The 18,966-nt window shown below is 45.3% G+C and overlaps 1 protein-coding gene across 8 annotated transcripts in view, besides 1 other annotated feature; it reads right to left on the bottom strand.

Annotated features, from left to right (window-relative positions):
* Positions 1–18,966, bottom strand: part of WIPF2 (WAS/WASL interacting protein family member 2) — a 64,833-nt gene that overhangs the window by 42,619 nt on the left and 3,248 nt on the right. The gene's annotated exons all lie outside the window — the stretch shown is intronic.
* Positions 16,420–16,991: an enhancer, noted in NCBI's record as "H3K27ac-H3K4me1 hESC enhancer chr17:38380779-38381350 (GRCh37/hg19 assembly coordinates)". NCBI's record gives its function as "activates a minimal SCP1, AML or CMV promoter by ChIP-STARR-seq in primed H9 embryonic stem cells {active_cell/tissue: H9 hESC(primed)}" and the evidence as "EXISTENCE:reporter gene assay evidence [ECO:0000049][PMID:30033119]".

The raw sequence follows: 18,966 nt of genomic DNA, 5'->3' as shown, positions 1-18,966 counted from the left end.
CCATCAGCCAACATTTAATACTAAAGAGGGGAGTTAATCAGAGGAAAGACACACATGCTAATTCAGAAATCCAGACCAAAGCTAGACAGGCTAAAACAGAGTCTGAATACAAAAGCAGTATTAGGGGAAGGCTAAGGAGTTTGCCATGGAGATGTAAGATGGCATTAATGGTTTAAAAAGAATCCTTCTAAAGCAGGGTTTCCAAACTTGCCTGAAGATAAGACATATTTAGGGCATTTGTTTAAAAACAAACACACTTTAAAAAAAGATCCCTGGGCGCTAATCTAAACCAACTAAAATCAGAAGTTTTCCAGGAGAATGATCTGGTAATCTGTATATCCAACAAGCACTTTAAGTGATTCTTGGTGTTAGGGAAGTCTAGAAAACACTATGCTAAAGGAGTATTAGTAATCAACTGTAAAGACACTGTGGTGTCTGAATGGATATTGGCAAGGAAAAGCTGATGAATATGTTGAATAACATGTTAAACATAATATATTGCATGCATTAATCAATGTTCCATCATAAAACACCATTAAAATTACAGCAAAAGGATTTTTTTTTTTTTTTTTTGAGACGGAGTCTCATTCTGTTGCCCAGGCTGGAGTGCAGTGGCGCTATCTCGGCTCACTGCAAGCTCCACCTCTCGGGTTCATGTCATTCTCCTGCCTCAGCCTCCCGAGTAGCTGGTACTACAGGCGCCTGCCACCACGCCCAGCTAATTTTTTTGTATTTTTAGTAGAGACGGGGTTTCACTGTGTTAGCCAGGATGGTCTCCATCTCCTGACCTCGTGATCTGCCTGCCTCAGCCTCCCAAAATGCCGGGATTACAGGCGTGAGATACCGTGCCTGGCCAGGATTTTTTTTTATAAAGACATAAACCAAACAACAAGCAAAAAAACTGGGAAAGGAGACAGCAGAGAGAGAGATGTCAACAAAGTTTTGGAAGGTAAAAAGCAAATGCACTAGTGATAAATAACTTCACAAAAGTAAAAAAAAAAAACAAAACACTGCAGTGGGAAGAAGCAAGCAGATTCCCACCACAGATGAACTTCTGAATCAAAACGTCTCAGAAATTAGAGGCACCTGGTACCTCGGGAAGATGGGGTGATAGTGTAGAAGGGGCTAAACAGGAGGACTGGTTGAAAGTCTGGGACTGGCACGGTGGCTCACACCTGTAATCCCAGAAGTTTGGGAGGCCGAGGCAGGTGGATTACTTGAGCTCAAGGGTTCGAGACCAGCCTGGTCAACCTGGTGAAACCCCGTCTCTACTAAACATACAAAAAAATTAGCCGATTGTGGTGGCTCATGCCTGTAGTTGCCAGCGACTTGGGAGGCTGAGGCAGCAGAATTGCTTGAACCTGGGAGGTGGAGGTTGCAGTGAGCTGAGATTGCACCACTGCACTCCAGCCCGGGCAACAGAGCAAGACTCCATCTTAAAAAAAAAAAGAAAAGTCTGTATAACAAATGGATTCCTCCATCCCTCCCCATGCTGCCAGGCAAATTAGAAAAGTTAAACCAGGCCAGGCTCGGTGGCTCATGCCTGTAATCCCAGCACTTTGGGAGGCCAAGGTGGGTGGAACACCTGAGGTCAGGAGTTCAAGACCAGCCTGGCCAAGATGGTAAAACCCCACCTCTATTAAAAATACAAACATTAGCCGGGCACGGTGGCAGGCACTTGTAATCCCAGCTACTTGGGAGGCTGAGGCAGGAGAATCCTTTGAAGCCGGGTGGCAGAGGTTGCAGTGGGCCAAGATAGCGCCACTGCACTCCAGCCTAGAGATGACAGAGTGAGACTCCGTCTCAAAAAAAAAAAAAAAAAAAAAGAAAAGCTGAACCAAAGAGTCCAAAGGAACTAGTCACAGCTAAGGGCAGTGACGGAAATAAGGGTATCAAGTGAAAAGCCTAATGAGTCAACGGTGAGACCTCTCCTACCTCCCCAGCTCCTTTCTCTCACTTGGCTCCAAAAACATTGGCAGCCAGACTTACACTCAAACACCTGCCACTGGCTTATACTCTCTAGGCAGGGGACTGGAGGAGTCCTTTTACCAGCCTGCCAGGGTGCCTGTAATCCCAATACCCTATAGTAGGGTCCACCACTTGATGAGCTTCTTAGTGTCACATTCTTAAAAATAAACAGAAGCCAAGGCTGGGCGCAGTGGATCACGCCTGTAATCCCAGCACTTTGGGAGGCTGAAGGGGGCGGATCACGAGGTCAGGAGATCGAGACCATCCTGGCTAACACAGTGAAACCCCGTCTCTACTAAAAATACAAAAAATTAGCCGGGCGTGGTGGCGGGCGCCTGTGGTCCCAGCTACTTGGGAGGCTGAGGCAGGAGAATGGCGTGAACCTGGGAGGCGGAGCTTGCAGTGAGCCGAGATCGCACCACTGCATTCCAGCCTGGGCGACAGAGCGAGACTCCGTCTCAAATAAATAAATAAATAAATAAATAAATAAATAAATAAATAAAATAAAATAAACAGAAGCCAGACACAGTGGCATGAGCCTGTAGTCCCAGCTACTTGGAGGTAGGAGGATAACTTAAGCCCAGGAGTTTGAATCCAGCCTGAGCCCCACAGCAAAACCCCATCTCTTAAAAAATAAATGGCCGGGCACGGTGGCTCACGTCTGTAATCCCAGCACTTTGGGAGGCCAAGGCGGGCGGATCATGAGGTCAGGAGTTTCAGACCAGCCTGACCAAGGTGGTGAAACCCCATCTCTACTAAAAATACAAAAATTAGCCACACTGATGGCAAGCGCCTATAATCCCAGCTACTCGGGAGGCTGAGGCAGGAGAATCGCTTGAACCCGGGAGGCGGAGGTTTGCAGTGAGCCGAGATTGTGCCACTGCACTCCAGCCTGGACGACAGAGTGAGATTCTGTCTCAAAAAAATAATAATAAATAAATAAATAAGGGCAGGTGCAGTGGCTCACACCTGTAATCCCAACACTTTAGGAGGCCGAGGCAGGCAGATCACCTGAGGTCAGGAGTTCAAGACCAGCCTGGCCAACATGGTAAAACCCTGTCTCTACAAAACTACAAAAATTAGCCGGGCATGATGGCGGGTGCCTGTAATCCCAGCTATTTGGGAGGCTGAGACAGGAGAATTGCTTGAACTGGGGAGGCAGATGTTGCAGTGAGCCAAGATCGTGCCATTGTACTCCAGCCTGGGCAACAGAGCCAGACTCCATCTCAAATAAATAAACAAATAAATAATAAAAATTGAATAAGCAGCTAAGAATTATCAAACAACTGAAGAAAATCTCTAACACGAAAGATAAGAATCAAAGTAACAAAACAGAATTCCTGACAATGTCCAAAAATACATGTAAAATTCAGATAATAAAAAGAGCCCTTGGAGACAGGGGTGGTGGCTCACGTCTGTAATCCCAGCACGTTGGGAGGCCAAGGCGGGTGGATCACAAGGTCAAGAGCTTTTTTTTTTTCTTTTGAGACGGAGTCTCCCTCTGTTGCCAGGCTGGAGTGCAGTGGCACCATCTTGACTCACTGCAACCTCCGCCTCCCGGGTTCAAGCAATTCTCCTACCTCAGCCTCCTGAGTAGCTGGGATTACAGGCGCACGTCACCACACCTGGCTAATTTTTTTTTTTTTTTTTTTTGGTATTTTAGTAGAGACAGGGTTAGGAGTTTGAGACCACCGTGACCAACAGGGTGAAACCCCATCTTTACTAAAAATATAAAAATTAGCTGGGCGTGGTGGTGTGTGCCTGTAATCCCAGCTACTTATGAGGCTGAGGCAGGAAAATCATTCGAACCCGGGAGGCCGAGGTTGCAGTGAGCCGAGATCACGCCACTGCACTCCAGCCTGGGCGACAGAGTAAGACTCTGTCTAAAAAAAAAACAAAAAGCCCTTGGAAATTAAACAAACTGATAACAGGAATTAAGCGACAACAGAGAGTCGGAAGAACAGCTAAGGAAATCTCACAAAAATTGAATGAAGGAAAAAAAAATTAGGGTTGGGCGTGGTAGCTCACACCTGTTATCCGAAGCACTTTGGGAGGCCAACACAGGCGGATCATTTGAGGTCAGGAGTTTGAGACCAGCCTGGCCAACATGGTAAGACTCTGTCTCTACTAAAAATACAAAAATCAGGCGGGCGTTGTGGCGCACGCCTGTAATCCTAGCTACTTAGGAGGCTGAGGCAGGGGAATCCCTTGAACCCAGGAGGCGGAGATTGCGGTGACCCGAGATAGCACCACTGCATGCCAGCCAGGATGACAAAGTGAGACTCTGTCTCAAAAAAAAAAAAAAAAAGGAAAAATTGAATAGGAAAAAAAAATTAGAGTACCAACCTAGGAGTTTCACCATCTGAGTAACAGCGTTTCCAGAAAGAGAGAGGAGATAAATAATTATCAAAGTGAGAATACATTATCAATACAAGAAATAATACAAGAAAATTTCCCAGGATAGATTGAAATAAGCTTCCAGACTGAAAAGGTCCACTGAATGCTGAGTATGATGAATTTTTAAATATCCACACCAAGGCACAACATGGTTGCATTTCAGAATGTCAGGGATAAAGGCAAGATCCTAAAGTCTTCCAGAGAAAAAACACAGATCCCATACAAAGAATCTAGAGTCAAAATAGCATCAAACTTCATAATGCCACTATTAAAAGTTAGAAACCTTGGGAGGCCGAGGCGGGTGGATCATGAGATCAGGAGTTCAAGACCAGCCTGGCCAAGATGGTAAAACCCCGTCTCTACTAAAAACACAAAAATTAGCCGGCCGTGATGGTGGGCGCCTGTAATCTCAGCTACTCAGGAGGCTGAGGCAGGGAATTGCTTGAACCCAGGGAGGTGGAGGTTGCAGTGAGCTGAGATCGCACCAGTGCACTCCTGCCTGGGCGACAGAGTGAGACTCCGTCTTAAAAAAAAAAAAAAAAAAAGAGGCTGAGTGAGGCAGCTCATGCCTGTAATCCCAGCACTTTGGGAGGCCAAGCCAGGAGGATCGGTTGAGGCCAGGAGTTCGAGACCAGCCTGGCTGATATGGCAAAACTCCATCTCTACACACGCCTGTAGTTCCAGCTACTCGGGAGGCTGAGGCAAAAGAATCGCTCGAACCGGGAGGTGGAGGTTGCAGTGAGCCAAGATTGCACCACTGCACTCCAGCCTGGGCAACAGAGCAATTCTCTGTCTCAAAAGAAAAAAAAAGGTTAGAAGACCACAAAGCAAGGGCTTATAATTTCCAAAGAAATATAATCTCCAGTAGAAAATTTTATATCTAGGCTGGGCACAGTTGACTCATGCCTGTAATCCCAGCACTTTGGGAGGCTGAGGCGGGTGGATCACCCCGAGGTCAGGAGTTCGAGACCAGCATGGCCAACACGGTGAATGAAACCCTTTAGTCACCAAAAATACAAAAAATTAGCCCAGGCGTGGTGGCAGATGCCTATAATCCCAGCAACTCGGGGCGGTGCTGAGGCAGGAGAATCGCTTGAATATGGGAGGCGGAGGTTGCAGTGAGCCGAGATCCCATCACTGCACTCGGGCCTGGGTGACAGAGCAAGACTCCATCTCAAAAAAAAAAAAAATTTTTTTAATCCAGTCAAACTGCCAAGTGTGAAGGAAGAAAGGAGGTAATTCAGATATGCAAGGCCTCAAAAAAGTCCCACTCTCCAGAGGCCAGGCGCGGTGGCTCATGCCTGTAATCCCAGCACTTTGGGAGGCCAAGACAGGCAGATCACCTGAGGTCGGGAATTCGAGACCAGCCTGACCAACATGGAAGAAACCCGTTCTCTACTAAAAATACAAAATTAGCTGGGCATGGTGATGCATGCCTGTAATCCCAGCTACTCGGGAGGCTGAGGTAGGAGAATTGCTTGAACCCGGGAGGCGGAGGTTGTGGTGAGCTGAGATCGTGCCATTGCACTCCAGCCTGGGCAACAAGAGCGAAACTCCGTCTCAAAAAAAAAAAAAAAAAAAAAGTCTCACTCTCCAAAGACTCCTTTCATAAAGCCTCTGGAAGAGGTGCTCCACTAATGTGCTTCAATGATGAGAAGAGGTTTATACCTGTCAGAGTTTAGGGATGAATCAGTGACTTTCCGTAAAACAAGCAGAAAACAAAAAAGGGAAGGAAGGAAAAGAATGACAATTACTATGTCTAGGGAAAAACTACACAAGGAAGTAAAGGTAATCGAATGATACAGTCATTATACTGGGCGCTAAATTTTTTTTCTTTTGTAACTTTCACTTCTACTTCCTTCTGGATTCATCTGGAGGCCTGGGAACTACATTTATCAGAATCCTCCATCAGTGCCATTGTGGTTTAAATTCTACCAACACTTAAGATTTGCACAATGGGCTGGGCGTGGTGGCTCAAGCCTGTAATCCCAGCACTTTGGGAGGCCGAGGCGGGCGGCCATCCTGGCTAACACGGTGAAACCCCGCCTCTACTAAAAATACAAAAAATTAGCTGGGCGTGGTGGCGGACGCCTGTTGTCCCAGCTACTAGGGAGGCTGAGGCAGGAGAATGGCGTGAACCCAGGAGGCAGAGCTTGCAGTGAGCTGAGATCGCGCCACTCTGCACTCCAGCCTGGGTGACAGGGCAAGACTCCGTCTCAAAAAAAAAAAAGGAAAAAAAGAAGATTTGCACAATGGAAGAAGGGTAGATGCCATTATTGCTTCTCCAGTAGCAACGAGAGCGTGCGTGGCCTCGGACAGATGGCAGACATGTGGTTTGCAGCCATTTCTAATTTTCTGCAAACTGCCTGTTTTGGTGCTTAAGGCAGCTAAGATTATTAACAGAAGCCATTTCTTGAAATTCCTGCAACGAGGTTTCCCTGATCTATGCTCTTCCAGCCTTCCAATGGTCTTGTAAGCATCTAAAATATCCTCTTTGAAATAACAAAAATGGTTTTCCTTTTTTTTTGAAGAAAGGGTCTCGCTCTTTCACCCAGGATGGAGTGCAGTGGTGTGATCATGGCTTACTGCATGCAGCCTTGACCTACCAGCTCAAGTGATCCTCCCACCTCTCAGCCTCCCAAATAGCTGGAACTACAAGTGCATGCCACCATACCTAGATAATTTCCGGTTGTTTTTTTTGTTTGTTTGTTTGTTTGTTTTGAGACAGAGTCTCACTCTGTCACCAGGCTTGAGTGCAGTGGCGCAATCTCAGCTCACTGCAACCTCCGCCTCCCAGGTTCTCCCAAGCAATTCTTCTGCCTCAGCCTCCCGAGTAGCTGGGACTACAGGCATGCGCCTCCCGAGTAGCTAGGACTACAGGCGTGCGCCTCCCGAGTAGCTGGGACTACAGGCACTTGCCACCACACCCAGCTAATTTTTGTATTTTTAGTAGAGACAGGGTTTTACCATGTTGGCCAGGATGGTCTCAATCTCCTTACCTTGTGATCTGCCTGCCTCAGCCTCCCAAAGTGCTGGGATTACAGGCGTGAGCCACTGTGCCTGGCCTGTTTTTTTTATTATTATTTTTTGAGATGGAGTTTTCTTCTTGTTGCCCAGGCTGGAGTGCAATGGCACAATCTCAGCTCACCGCAACCTCTGTCTCCCACATTCAGGCAATTCTCCTGCCTCATCCTCCCGAGTAGCTGAGATTACAGGCATGCACCACCACGCCTGGCTAAATTTGTATTTTTAGTAGAGATATGGTTTCTCCATGTTGGTCAGGCTGGTCTCGAACTCCCAACCTCAGGTGATCCGCCCGCCTCGGCTTCCCAAAGTGTTCAGATTACAGGTGTGAGCCACAGTGCCCGGCCCAATTTTGTATTTTTAGTAGAGACGGGGTTTCACCATGTTGGCCAGGCTGGTCTCAAACTCCCAATCTCAGGCCTCGGCCTCCTAAAGTGCTGGGATTACAGGCTTGTGCCATCACCTTCAGCCTCAACAGATAATATGTAAGAATGGAAAACTCAAGAAAGAACTGTATAGCCAGGTGCAGCGGTGCACACCTGTACTCCCCACTAAGGCAGGAGGACTGCTTGAGCCCAAGAGTTCAATGCCATCCTGGACAACACAGCAAGACTTCATCTATCAAAAAAAAAAAGAAAGAATAAACAGCCTAAACATACTATATAGAAATATGGATAATATACATCAGGGAAAAAAAATTGCAAAAGTGGTTAAAAACAAACAAGCAGAAATAAAGTAGTGTTTTTTTTCTAATTATAAGCCTTGTAGTACTGTCTGATTCTTTATGTATTCTTACTATTTTGACAAAAAACAATTACCAAAAATCAAAAAACCCTAACACTGTATAAGCAAAATCACCATATAAACAAACTGACCAAAATTTCAAAATATAAGGTCAACGTTGGATCTGGTACCAATGCAGTTAAGGAGAATAGAAAATCCCAAACAAAACAAAAAATTTTAAAGACTTAATTAAGCCCAACTCTAGAATCAGTATCTTGACTCAACTCAAATGGCAGCAGGCTGGCTAATGTGACCTGAATCTCTGCCACAGCCTGGGTGTAACCACACAGTGATCAACAACCCCACAGCTTACTCTAACAGAGGGCAAATATGAGAGCAACTTCCAATCTACCATAGGAAATCATAACCAAAATTAATTGCAAAGGTATGCACAAAAATAGAGAAATGAGCCAGGTATGGTGGCTCACGCCTGTAATACCAGCACTTTGGGAGGCCGAGGCGGGCAGACGACCTGAGGTCGGGAGTTCAAGACCAGCCTGACCAACATGGTGAAACCCTGTCTCTACTAAAAATGCAAAATTAGCCGGGCATGGTGGCGCATGCCTGTAATTCCAGCTACTCAGGAGGCTGAGGCAGGAGAATCGCTTGAACCAGGAGGCAGAGGTTGCAGTGAGCCGAGATCACACCATTGCACTCCAGCCTGGGCAACGAGTGAAACTCCACCTCAAAAAAAAAAAAAGAGAAATTAATATTAAAATCAATTACTGGCCGGGCACGGTGGCTCATACCTGTAATCCCATCACTTTGGGAGGCCAAGGTGGATCACTTGAGCTCAGGAATTCGAGACCAGCCTGGGAAACATGGCAAAAGCATCTACAAAAATACAAAAATTAGGCCAGGCATGGTGGTACTCATGCCTGTAATCCCAGCACTTTGGGAGGCCAAGGCGGGTGGACTGCTTGAGGTCAGGAGTTCAAGACCAGCCTGGCCAACATGGTGAAACCCTGTCTCTACTAAAACTACAAAAATTAGCTGTGTGTGGTGGCGTGCACCTGTGATTCCAGCTACTCCAGAGGCTGAAGCATGAGAATTGCTTGAACCTGGGAGCCACAGACTGCAGTGAGCTGAGATCACGCCACTGTACTCTGGTCTGGGCAACAGAGCGAGACCCTGTCTCAAAAAAAAAAAAAAAAAAAAAAAAAAAATTAGCCAGGCATGGTGGCATGTGCCTGCAATCCCAGCTACTCAGGACGCTGAGGTGGGAAGATCGCTTGAGCCCAGGAGGCAGAGGTTGCAGTGAGCAGACATCACACCACTGCACTCCAGCCTGGGTGACAAAGCCAGATCCTGTCTCAAAAAAAAAAAAAAAGTAAAATCAATTACCTTAACTCTCTTTTTAGGTCTTGTTTTCAATGTAATGCCACTAACTGCTAAAAAAAAAAAAAAAAAGAAAGAAAAAATCAAAGAATCTTTAGACATTCTAAGAAACTGTTAATTAGATTTAAAATACAATTACGAGGCAGGCTGAAACCTAGTCATTGATGACCAAAAAAAAACAGCTCTTCTCAGATTTTAAGCTAGCCATATCTCATATTATTACTAGCTCCCAACTTCCAAGAGCCAGGCTTCATCTGCACGCTCCATATATAAAAGTAGAAAAGCGGCCAGGCATGGTGGCTCACGCCTGTAATCCCAGCACTTTGAGGCGCCAAGGCGGGTGGATCACAAGGTCAGGAGTTCAAGACCAGCCTGGCCAAGATGGTGAAACCCTGTCTCTACTAAAAATACAAAAAATTAGCTGGGCGTGGTGGCGGGCACCTGTAATCCCAGCTACTCAGAGGCTGAGGCAGAGAACTGCTTGAACCCGGGAGGCAGATGTTGCAGTGAGCTGAGATCGTGCCACTGCACTCCAGCTGGGACACAGAGCAAGACTCCGTCTCAAAAAAAAAAAAAAAAAAAGGTAGAAAAGCACAGAGAACAGTCAGATAGAAGGAAAATCCAGTGATGACAGTCCCCACTAAGAAAAGGCCTGAAAGAAAACTTAAACAGATGCTCCATAAAATGCTGATCCAGACTTCACATGGAGACAAGTGTCATGCCTCATTTCAAAGATAATATATTAAGTCCCAACTCACCACAGATAATCTAATAACAAATCTGTGACTTTCATTGTCAAGGAGTCTCTTCTCTTACATTCTAATACCCTTAAGCCATCAGAAACACAGATGCTCCTTGCTGAAATGCTAGAAAATTTGCACATTTCCGTCCCTTGATCACTAGTGATGGGCTGCTAAGTCAAGAGTCTACTTTAAGTTATAAAAACAGGGCAAGCTGATCCAATTAAACAGAAGTACTAAATCAAACAGGACCATCTGGGTTTTAAGTACTGTGATTTCTGAACAAAAGTCAATACACTTGCAGATAAAAACACTTTCATATATTCAGAATTATAATGGCCCTTGGGCTACCTTGCGTGTCCAACAAGACTTACGTGTCATGCTAAGACATATGGCCTAGATGATGGGTATGACAGTATATTCATCGGTTCAAAATAAAAGAACATCTGTTCTCTCCCTAGCACCATGAAGATTATTTTTAAAACAGTCAACATTCCCTAACAGTAAATAAGTTTTTTCTTTTTTTAAACACTCCTCCCTGCTCCTCCCACTAAAAGTAAATAGGTTTTCTGTTTCCTAAATAGCAAGTCTGGTAAACTAACAATCCCATCATCCCCCATAATCTAAAAATTGTTCCCCAATAAGCCTAATCTCCAAAACAATTTCTAAGATCCTAAAATTTTAAGAGCTAATCCAGCCAACCAAGTTTGATTTGCAGGACCTATGAGAAATCAAGACTAAAAGAATAGGTTTCATCCAGGAAAGTTCTTATAAAAACTGTTTCACTGCACAAGCATCAGACTTCTTTATGACACTGATGGTCTCATCATCAACACTAGTAAAAGAACTGACAGGAAAAAAAAAAGCCCTATTTTAGAAGCTGACCTCAAAATTCACTATCCTATTACTCTTTTAGTTGTTGTTTTTTGAAACAGGGTCTCACTCTGTCTCCGAGGTTGGAGTGCAGTGGTGCTGCAACAGCTCACTGCAACCTCCCTCTCCTGGGGCTCAAGTGATCCTCCTCCCTCAGCCTCCTGAGCGGCTAGAACCACGGGTGCTCATCACCATGCCCAGCTAATATTTTAATTATATAGAGACTGGGGGGTCTCCCTATGTTGCCCAGATTGGTTGTGAACTTCTAGGCTCAAGTGATCCTCCCACCTTGGTCTCCCAAAGTGTTGGTATTACAGGCATGAGCCACCATGCCAGCCTATTTACCCATTTTTTAGGACAGCTCACATTCTGAAGCCTTGCCTCCTACCTGTCTGTTTTTCACTCCCTAAGCTCCAGCCACACTGGAACCTCTTTCAATTCCTCAAAATACAAACATTCTTTCCCTCCTCAGGACATTCACCTGTGCCATCTCCTCTACCTAGGTCAGTCTTTTGTCCTCCCTTCATTCTTAGGTTTCACCCTTAAAAGTCAATTCCTCAGAGACCTTCTCTGACTGCCCTTCCTCTCAATCAACCTGGGATGGGCTAACCATTAGCTGTCTCCACAGCATTTACAGCAACAGTAATAATTATTTGTTTAATAAATGTCTTTGGGCCAGGCACGGTGGCTCACACCTACAATCCCAGCACTTTAGGAGGCCGAGGCAGGAAGATCACTTGAGGTTAGGAGTTTTGAGGCCAGCCTGGCCAACATGGTGAAACCCCATCTCTACTAAAAATACAGAAAAAATTAGCCAGACATGGTGGTGCACCTGTAGTCCCAGCTACTTGGGAGGCTACAGCAGAATGGCTTGAACCTGGGAGGCAGAGGTTGCGGTGAGCCAAGATCATGCCACTGCACTCCAGCCTGGCTAATAGAGCTAGACTCTGTCTAAAACAAATAAATAAATAAATGAATAAATGTCTTTGGCCAGGTGCGGCGGCTCACACCTGTTATCCCAGCACTTTGGGACGCCGAGGTGGGCGGATCACCTGAGGTCAGGAGTTCGAGACCAGCCTAATAAGGAGAAACCCCGTCTCTACTAAAAATACAAAATTAGCCGGGCGTGGTGATGCATGCCTGTAATCCTAGCTACTCGGGAAGCTGAGGCAGGAGAATCGCTTGAACCCGGGAGGCAGAGGTTGCGGTGAGTTGAGATCATGCCATTGCACTCCAGCCTGGGCAACAAGAACAAAACTCATCTAAAAAAAAAAAAAGACCAGCCTGGGCAACTTGGCAAAGCCCCACCTCTACAAAAACTACAAAAATTAGCCATGGTGGCATGCATCTGCAGTCCCAGCTATTTAGGAGGCTAAGGCAAGAGAATCACTTGAGCCCAGGAGGTGGAGGTCGCAGTGAGCCAAGATGGGAATGAAACCTTGTCTAAAAAAAAAAAGTCTTCCACCGTAAGTGGAAGACCAAGTCAGGGCCAGGTGTGGTGGCTCATGCCTGTAATTATGGCACTTCGAGATAGGAGGACTGCTTAAGCCCGAGTTCAAGACCAGCCTAGGCAACAAAGTGAGACCTCACGTCTACAAAAAATTTTAAAAATTGTGCACACACCTGTGGTCCCAGCTACACAGGAGGCTGAGGTGGGAGGACTGCTTGAGCCCAGAAGGTTGAGGCTACAATGAACCATGTTTGCACCACTAAATTCCCGCCTGGGTGACAGAGAGAGACTCTGTCTCAAAAAAAAAAAGACCAAGAAAATTTGTTCACTGCCCTATCTGCATCCCCTGCATCCCCTACCACAGTACTTGGCACACAGTAGGAACTCAAAAATTCTTGTTGAATAAATGAATAACGAACATCAAAAAAAATCAGCTTCAGCAATTCTAGTTCTAAGAATTTACCCTACAGACACAGTCATATATGCAAAGAGCCAAATATATATGCTTCTTCACTGCAGCATAGTTTGTAATAGCAAAAGACTGGAAACTGTGTATGTCTATCAGTGTAAGGTAGGTGCCAAGTATCTTTATTGCTGATAGGGAGTAACAGTCAAAAGAGGTATAAAAATGGCCGGGCGCGGTGGCTCACGCCTGTAATCCCAGCACTTTGGGAGGCCGAGGCGGGCGGATCACGAGGTCAGGAGATCGAGACCATCCCGGCTAAAACGGTGAAACCCCGTCTCTACTAAAAATACAAAAAATTAGCCGGGCGTAGTGGCGGGCGCCTGTAGTCCCAGCTACTTGGGAGGCTGAGGCAGGAGAATGGCGTGAACCCGGGAGGCGGAGCTTGCAGTGAGCCGAGATCCCGCCACTGCACTCCAGCCTGGGCGACAGAGCGAGACTCCGTCTCAAAAAAAAAAAAAAAAAAAAAAACAAAAAGAGGTATAAAAACAAGCAAAAGATACAGATAGTATTAACAGTGTGCTACATTTATTAAAACAACAACAACAAAAAAAAAAACAAGAAATATACATATTTGCTTTATATGTACCTGGTATCTCTGGAACAAACTTTTTTTGTTTTTTGTTTTGTTTTGAGACAAAGTCTTGCTCTGTCACCCAGGCTGGAGTGCAGTGGCACAATTTTAGCTCACCATTCCGCCTCCCAGGTTCAAGTGATTCTTGTGCCTCAGCCTCCCGAGTAACTGGGACTACAGGCACACACCACCATGCCCCGCTAATTTTTATATTCTTAATAGAGACAGGGTTTCACCATGTTGGCCAGGCTGGTCTCCAACTTCTGACCTCAGGTGATCCGCCCGCCTCAGCCTCCCAAAGTGCTGGGATTACAGGTGTGAGCCACCGCAACCAGCCTGGAACAGATCTAAAGAAAATAATAATACGAGTTGCCTCTGGGAAGATGAACTGGATTGATAGGAAGACAAACATAGATGTTTCCAAGGGTATTCACTATATACTTTCTTTTTCTTGGCAGGTGAGTTGATACATACTCCTTAGTGGATTCTGACTTCCATGGCCACCATCCTGCTTATATACTTTTTTATCTTTTAAATTTTGTATTATTTATTTAAAATATAACATTTGTGGCCAGGAGCAGTGACTCACACCTGTAATCCCAGCACTTTGGAAGGCCGAGGCAGGCAGATCACGAGGTCAGGAGTTTGAGACCAGCCTGGCCAACATGGTGAAACCCCGTCTCTACTAAAAATACAAAAATTAGCTGGACGTGGTGGCACACACCTGTAATCTCAGCTACTTGACACGGTGAGGCAGGAGATTGCTTGAGCCTGGGAGGCAGAGCTTGCAGTGAGCCCAGATCTTGCCACTCCACTCCAGCCTGGCTGACACAGTGAAACTCTGTCTCAAAAAAAAATAAATAAATAGGCTGGGCGTGGTGGCTCACGCCTGTAATCCCAGCACTTTGGGAGGCTGAGGCGGAAAGATCACTAGGTCAGGAGTTCAAGACCAGCCTGGGCAACAAGGTGAAACCCCACCTCTACTAAAAAATACAAAAATTAGTTGGGCATGGTGGCGTGCACCTGTAATCTCAGCTACTCAGGAGGCTAAGGCAGCAGAATCGCTTGAACTCAGGAGGCAGAGGCTGCAGTGAGCCGAGATTGTGCCATTGCACTCCAGCCTGGGCAACAGAGCAAGACTCAGTCTCAAAAATAATAATAATAAATTTAAAAAATTAAAAAAATAAAATTTGCTAAAAACAGTTCTGTTCTTATTTCTAAGACAAGGAAAGAAGCAGTTTAAATGTCTCACATCTGGATCTTAGATAATAAACATCCTCCCTACTAGGTGAGCACTGGGAGGGCAGGAATGGAAGAAGGAAAAGTCCACTTATCCACAAATCTCAGACATCGCATCTCATACTAGTGTACTACCTTAGAAGAAAATTCCAAAGGCCGGGCACAGTGGCTCATGCCTGTAATCCCAGCACTTTGGGAGGCCAAGGTGGGCGGATCGCGAGGTCAGGAGTTCGAGACCAGTCTGGCCAACATAGTGAAATCCCGTCTCTACTAAAAATACAAAAAAAAAAAAATTAAATTAGCCGGGTGTGGTGGTGTGCGCCTGTAATCCCAGCTACTCGGGAGGCTGAGGCAGGATAATCGCATGAACCCGGGAGGTGGAGGTTGCAGTGAGCTGGGATCGCACCACTGCACTCCAGACTGGCCGACAGAACGAGACTCCATCTCAAAAAAAAAAAAATTTTTTTTTTTTTTTTTTTACCAACTATCCCAATCTGAATACATATGGAGAATGTTTTCACAGTCAGAGGGATTATTGGGAGGAAAAAAAAAGATTATTCGATTCAGCATTTCCAGAAGCACAGAAAGTAGGTCAGTGAATTTGCACTTTAGAAATATCATAATTACTTGCTAAAAACAAATTATTTCCACTGAGGGGCCTCAAAATCCAAATGGCACTCAATTTGAATCCATGAAGCTTAAGAAACTAAATTTTTTTTGAAAATCAATTATAATGGCTGAGCCTGGTGGCTCACACCTATAATCCCAGCACTTTGGGAGGCCGGCAAAAGTTCAAGACCAGGCTGGGCAACATGGCGAAACCCCATCTCTACAAAAAATAAAAATTAGTGAGGCATAGTGGCGTGCGCCTGTAGTCCCAGCTACACAGGAGGCTGAAGTGGGAAGAACACCTGAGCCTGAGCCTGGGGAGGTCGAGGCTACAGATCACGCCGCCACACTCCAGCCTGGGCAAGAGAGAGAGATCCTGTCTCAAAATAAAAAGGGAATGATCTTCACGATCCATCCCAAAACATATTGGAGATAACCCTACCTTTAGCTAACTATCCCCTGAAAAACAAGAGAGTATTTACTAAGTAGAACACATTGTTGGATAGCCATTCCAAATTGCTCTAACTTTGCCAAGCTTAAATGGCAAGGAAGAAACCAATTCCTGGCTCCCCTATTTGATAACTTACATACTTCTGCAGGCTCTTAAGCCAAAATGAGCCAAAATCTTAAAGAGAGTTAAGACTGACATAGACATTAGCAAACATATCACCTTTTTTTCCTATTAACATTGTTGTTCCCCATAAAGGTCTATTCAGCATTTTTTTTTTAGTAGCCCTCTGTAGATATCAAGAAATGCTCATAAATTTAGCCTGTAGTTCCTCAGGCTCAATGGCTTGTGAGAAAAGAAAAAAAAAAAAAAAGTTGGAAATACTGTCTTCTCTTCCACAATGCCCACGAAGCTAGGCAAAGGCAATGATTCTGCATTTAATCACTAGATGAATAAGAAACAGACTTGAATTTAGAAGAAAGATAAAGGACCGCAAGAACATTCAGTAAAGAGTACTGCCTCTATTTCTTTGCAAAGCAGCTCTCAGGATCTGCCAATGAACCTCATTTTGACATGGAACGCCCCATCCACTCTAATCCGGGGCATATCCCTCAAGACACAGTCAGTCAACCGGAACTCTGCCAACTTTTGCTTGGGAGTTGTGTGAAGAATAGTAGCAACAAGAGCCTACTTTGAGAAGGAGATCAACAATCACACTCAAGAAGAAAAGAAGTTATTTGGCAAAGGGATGCATGTTGCCAAAATGTTAGTCACAGCTTCAAGGGCCCAGTTTGTGTCTCTACAACTATTCTTTGCTTTGACAGAGGCCATTATCTGACCCAGGAAACAGCTCAGCTTCTGTCACCCTCCCCATCTGAAGCAGTGAAGAATCCTTTCAATTTGGTAGTATCAAACTGTGACACAGACAAGATGTCCACCAGAGACTAAAAGGGGAGAAAAAATGTGTAATTTGCCACTTTCTACATAGGACTGGCTCAAGCAGAGCAACGGAAAACTGTGACAGGATAGGAAAAATGGAAAATCATTATGTTAAAGAAGCAGGCTGGGCCGGGCGCGGTGGCTCACGCCCGTAATTTCAGCACTTTGGGAGGCCGAGGCGGGTGGATCACAAGGTCAGGAGATCAAGACATCCTCGCTAACAAGTTGAAACCCCGTCTCTACTACAAAAAAAAAAAAAAAAAAAATACAAAAAATCAGCCGGGCGTGGTGGCAGGCGCCTGTAGTCCAGCTCCTCAGGAGGCTGAGGCAGGAGAATGGCGTGAACCTGGGAGGCGGAGCTTGCAGTGAGCCGAGATTGCGCCACTGCACTCCAGCCTGGGGGACAAAGTGAGACTCCGTCTCAAAAAAAAAAAAAAAAAAGAAAAGAAAAGAAAAAAAAAATAAGCAGGCTGTACCAAAAGTCCGCCCAGGAGCACCGAGCCTCCATATGTTATCTCAAAATCCCCTTAAAAAACAAACCAAAAAGGTACACTGTAGGTTGCAATAGCATAATATTAAGCAGGTTTTTACTCCCAAATAAGTACATATATTTTGTAGCCTGCAACTCTTCCTGGGGTTGTAAGAAGACTATGTTTGCTGAAGCTGCCTGAACCAAGAGCCCATGAATTTCACAGTTATTTCAGAGCAGGAAAACAGACTAACATATACCAGGTTACTCTCCCAATCAGAGAACACAAGTAAAGAAAGAACATTTAATAATTTTCTCGGGCCGGGCGCGGTGGCTCACGCCTGTAATCCCAGCACTTTGGGAGGCCGAGACTGGCAGATCACAAGGTCAGAAGTTCGAGACCAGCCTGACCAACACAGTGAAACCTCGTCTCTACAAAAATACAAAAATTAGCCAGGCGTGATGGCACCCAGCTACTCAGGAGGCTGAGGCAGGAGAATCGCTTGAACCTGGGAGGTGGAGGTTGCAGTGAGCAGAGATCATGCCATTGCACTCCAGCCTGGGCAACTGAGCGAGACTCCGTCTCAAAAAAAAAAAAAAAAAACCCAAAAAAAAATTTTCTCTTCAACAGAACAAGACTTCTGTCTCTTGCCTCTTGCCTTTTTTTTTTCCTAAAAACACCTAGTGAGTCTAGAATCTCTTCCCTTCGTAAAAGCCATCAGTAAAACCTGAAAACTCCAATGTTCACACCTCTCCTGCATTTCACCTTGGTGCTATCACATAACTTATCAGTACCAGCTAGGGTAAACACTACTCTAGTATCAAGTGTGAGGTGGAATTAGTAAATGACCAGCCTGGCCAACATGGCAAAACCCTGTCTCTACTAAAAATACAAAAATTAGCCAGGTGGCACATGCCTGTAATCCCAGCTACTTGGGAGGCTGAGCCAGGAGAATTGCTTGAACCCAGGAGACAGAGGTTGCAGTGAGCCAAGATTGTGCCATTGCACTCCAGCCTGGGCAATACAGCAAGACTCTGTCTCAAAATAAATAAATAAACAAATAAAAAAACAAACACTACATTCTACTAGTCTTCATCAATTGACTTCATTCATCTCCACCTTCCCCAACTCTTAACTTCCCTATCTTCATCTTGATGGCAACCAATGTAACACAATATGAAATTTTTACTTTTAAAAGTTGACATTAATAAGAGTTAAAAAACTAAACATGCGGCCAGGTGTGGTAGCTCATGCCTGTAATCTCAACACTTTGGGAGGCCGAGGTGGGTGGATCACCTGAAGTCAGGAGTTCGAGACCAGCCTGACCAACATGGTGAAACCCCATCTCTACTAAAATACAAAAAATTAGCTGGGCGTGGTGGTGCATGCCTATAGTACCAGTTACTTGGGGGACTGAGGCAGGAGAAGCGCTTGAATCCGGCAGGCGGAGGTTGCAGTGAGCCAAGACTGCGCCATTCCACTCCAGCCTGGGCAGCAGGAGCGAAACTCTGTCTCAAAAAAAAAAAAAAAAAAAAAAAAAAAAAAAAACTGAATATGCATCAAATCAAAACCAGTTCTTCCCTGGCTGGCACGCAGACACACACACACACACACAAACACACACACACATGAGCAAGGCTAAGAGGAAGAA

The sequence above is a fragment of the Homo sapiens genome, chromosome 17, assembly GCF_000001405.40.
Source record: "Homo sapiens chromosome 17, GRCh38.p14 Primary Assembly".
Lineage (NCBI taxonomy): Eukaryota > Metazoa > Chordata > Mammalia > Primates > Hominidae > Homo > Homo sapiens.
This window is presented reverse-complemented; position numbering and strand designations above follow the sequence as displayed.